The following is a 3720-nucleotide window of genomic DNA, read 5'->3' as shown; positions in this document are numbered from 1 at the left end:
ATACAATCACCCCTTCTCAACCGTCCCATGAGGTCTTAATTCATTTCAGTATTAACTAAAAAGTCCACAGTCCAATATCTCATCTGAGACAAGGCAAGTCCCTTCTGCCTATGATCCTGTAAATAAAAAGCAAGTTAGTTATTTCCAAGATACAATGGTATCTTGGAATGGTGTCTTGGTAGAGACATTGGGTAAATACACCTATTCCAAAAGGGAGAAATCAGCTAAAAGAAAGGGGATACAGTCCCCATGCAAGTTCAAAACCTAGCAGGGCAGTCATTCAATCTTAAAGCTCTGGAATAATCTCTTTTGATGCCATGTCTCACATCCAGAACACAGTGGTGCAAGGGGCGGCCTTCCAAAGCCTTGGGCATCTCCACCCCTGAGGCTCTGCAGGGTACAGTCCCTGTGGTTGCTTTCACATATTGATTGTTGGGTGCCTGTGGCTTTTTAGGCATGTGGTACAAGCTGTTGGTGGATCTACCATTCTGGGGTTTAGAGGATGGTGGTCCTCTTCTCATAGCTCCACTAGGAAGTGCTCCAGTGGGGACTCTGTGTGGGGGCTCCAACTCCACATTTTCCCTTTGCACTGCCCTAGTAGAGGATCTTCATGAGGGGTCTGCCCCTGCAACAGACTTCTGCCTAAATATCCAGGCTTTTCCATTCATATTCTGAAATCTAGGTGGAGGCTCCCAAGCCTCAACTCGTGGACTCTGTGCACCCACATGCTTAACACGACATGGAAGCCACCAATGCTTATGGTTTGCCCACTCTGAAGCAATGACTTGAGCTGCACCTTGGCCCCTTTTAGCTATGGCTGGAACTGGAGCAACTGTGATGCAGGGTACCTTGTCCTGAGGCTGCATAGAGCAGTGGGGCCCTGGGCCTGAGTCATGAAACCATTCTTCTCTACTATGCCCCCAGGCCTGTGATGGGAGGGGCTACCTCAGAAATCTCTGAAATGCCTTCAAGGCCTTTTCCCCATGGTCTTGGCTATTAGCACTTGAATTCCCTTTAATTATGCAAATTTCTGCAGCCAGCTTAAATTGCTCCCCTGAAAATAGGCTTTTCTTTTCTACCACATGGCCTGGCTGCAATTTTTTTTCAAACATTTATGCTGTGCTTCTCTTTAAAATATAAGTTCCAATTTCAGGTCATTTTTTTGCTCATGAATATGAACACAGGGTGCTAGAAGCAGCCAGGCCATATCTTGGACACTTTGTTGCTTAGAAATTTCTTCCATCAGATACCCTGAATTATCGCTTTAAATTTCAAAGTTCCACAGATACCTAGGGCAGAGGCACAATCCAACCAGGCTCTTTGATAAAGCATAACAGAAGTAACCTTTGCTCCATTTTGCAGTAAGTTCCTTACCTTCATCTGAGACCTCACCAGCCTGGACTTCATTGTCCGTATCATTATGAGCATTTTGGTCATGACAATTTAACAAATCTCTAGAAAGTTCCAAACCTTCCCTCATCTTCCCGTCTTCTTCTGAGTCCTCTAATTTTTTCTAACATCTCCCCAGTTCCAAAGCTACCTCCACATTTTCATCTATCTTTATAGTGATACCCTGCCTCTCAGTACAATTTCTCTATATTGGTCTGTTCTTGCACTGCTATGAATAAATACCTGAGAGCGTGTAATTTATAAAGAAAAGAAGTTTAATTCACTCAGGGTTTTACAGGCTGTCCAGGAAGAATGGCTGGAGAGGCCTCAGGAAACTTACAATCATGGTGGAAGGCGTAATGGATGCAGGCACACATTCACGTGGCCAGAGCAGGAGGAAGAGAGGGGGAGAAAATGCCACACAGTTTTAAACAACCAAATCTTGCAAGAACTCTACATGAGAACAGCACCAAATGGGGAAATCTGCCCCTATGATTCAATCACCTCCCAAGAGGCCCCACCTCCAACACTGGAGATTACAATTTGACATGAGATTTCGGTAGGAACATAAATCCAAACCATATAAATATTTATTCAAAAACAATGTAAATGGTTTGTCATTATTACTTTTTTGGTCACCTCATGGATGAGTTTTACCTCTGCTGAACTTCCATTTTCTCTGATCACTAACTGAGCCATACAGATACTCTGAATCGATCTGTGTTATACTTTTACTGGCAAGTGGAAATGGCATCTCTTCTGCCTCACTAAACTCTTCTTTATGGTTAGAAGAGAACAAGTAATAAAATCAGAATTTTTTGTCTGATAATAAACATCTTCTGTACTCACAATCTAGTCTTTCTTCAGGTACTCAATAGGTATATATACAGGATTTTGGTGATTTTTAGTTTACATTTTGGCACCAATTCTTTGCCTACTGACTTTAGTCTATTTTTTATTCTGAGAGTAATATATTGCTTTTAGAATTACCACAACATTTACATTTACATTGATCTCTCCTGAAGATTATATCTAATTCCTAAATCCTCTTTGATTATTATCCCAGTAGGTAGTGTTTATGGTTCTAATTTAGTCTATATGATATTCAATATTCATGTCAGTATTGGATGCTATTATTTTTTATTGCTATGTCAGAGGTTAATCAACATGCCTGGAGTCATAACAAAGCAGATGTGAATATTGGTATTTAAATGTAGATTGTTGCATAAATGAGCCTTTTGAGATCCACAATGACAGTTGTGCAGTGAAGATAATGTTGAAGTTATGTATTCTAGACCTGTAAAAGACCTAATTGGATTATGTTCTGTTCCCTATAGTCCAGACCTTATATGACAAATGCATTTTTTTATTCTGTCAACAAGCTATTTTATACTCATTTTCAAGTGACAACATTAAGCATTAAAGACATTAAGTACCTTGTCCAAAGTCACATAGTTAAAATTTGTCCGAATGGCAAGGTTCTATATTTTTCTTTTTTAGTATTTCTCTTATTTTAGTGTCCTTTAATTTGAGAATCATTTAGTGCATTTCTTTAGGAAAAGATATGATTGTAATTCTTGGACTACTAAAAAGAGAACTAGACAAGTAAGAGGCATTCAATTTACACTAACTCTACTACTTAAGTCTGTGATATTACATACTTAATTTTTCAACTCTAATTTTCCTTATCTGTGAAATGTGAAGACTATATGAGATGTCTTCTAAATTCTCATTAATCTCCAAAATTCTAGTTCAGTTCAATATTTTATAACACACTATTTTCCCATATTGCCATTGCCGAGCTCCAACTCAAACTTCACTCTTCAGGGTTGCCAGGCTTTAATAGTGACAAATATGTTAGGATCACATTTTATAATCACATTTGTGTCCTTCTATCATCTTAGTAATCTTTTACTTCTTAAGAAGTCTGACAAATTAGGAAGCATGTAGCTAACTGGAATTGTCTGTAAAAAGTCTTTTAGCTAGAGATTCTCCGTCTTGGTACTACGAACATTTGAAGTCAAATAATTATTTGCCATGGAAGATTGTCCTTTGCATTTTAGTATGTTTAGCACCATTACTGGCCTCTCTACTAGATGCAATAGTGTCCCTCACCAATTGTGACAATCAAAAATGTCTCCAGACATTCTTAGAAATAGCTCAGGTAATAATCACTGCTCTAGATACACTCATAACAATATGAAGAAAATATTGTTATAAACCAGCCTTCTTATTGCTTCTATATTTTAATAGAAAATAAAAAATTTTCATCTCTTATGGATAAAATTTAAAACTTTACTCCAGAACACATGTTATTCTCTCTAACGGATA

The 3720-nt window shown here is 38.4% G+C and overlaps 1 annotated feature.

Moving 5' to 3' along the window:
- Nucleotides 655-1257: an enhancer, noted in NCBI's record as "OCT4-NANOG-H3K27ac hESC enhancer chr5:105590357-105590959 (GRCh37/hg19 assembly coordinates)". NCBI's record gives its function as "activates a minimal SCP1, AML or CMV promoter by ChIP-STARR-seq in naive and primed H9 embryonic stem cells {active_cell/tissue: H9 hESC(naive and primed)}" and the evidence as "EXISTENCE:reporter gene assay evidence [ECO:0000049][PMID:30033119]".

This window comes from Homo sapiens, chromosome 5 (genome assembly GCF_000001405.40).
Source record: "Homo sapiens chromosome 5, GRCh38.p14 Primary Assembly".
Taxonomy (NCBI): Eukaryota; Metazoa; Chordata; class Mammalia; order Primates; family Hominidae; genus Homo; species Homo sapiens.
This window is presented reverse-complemented; position numbering and strand designations above follow the sequence as displayed.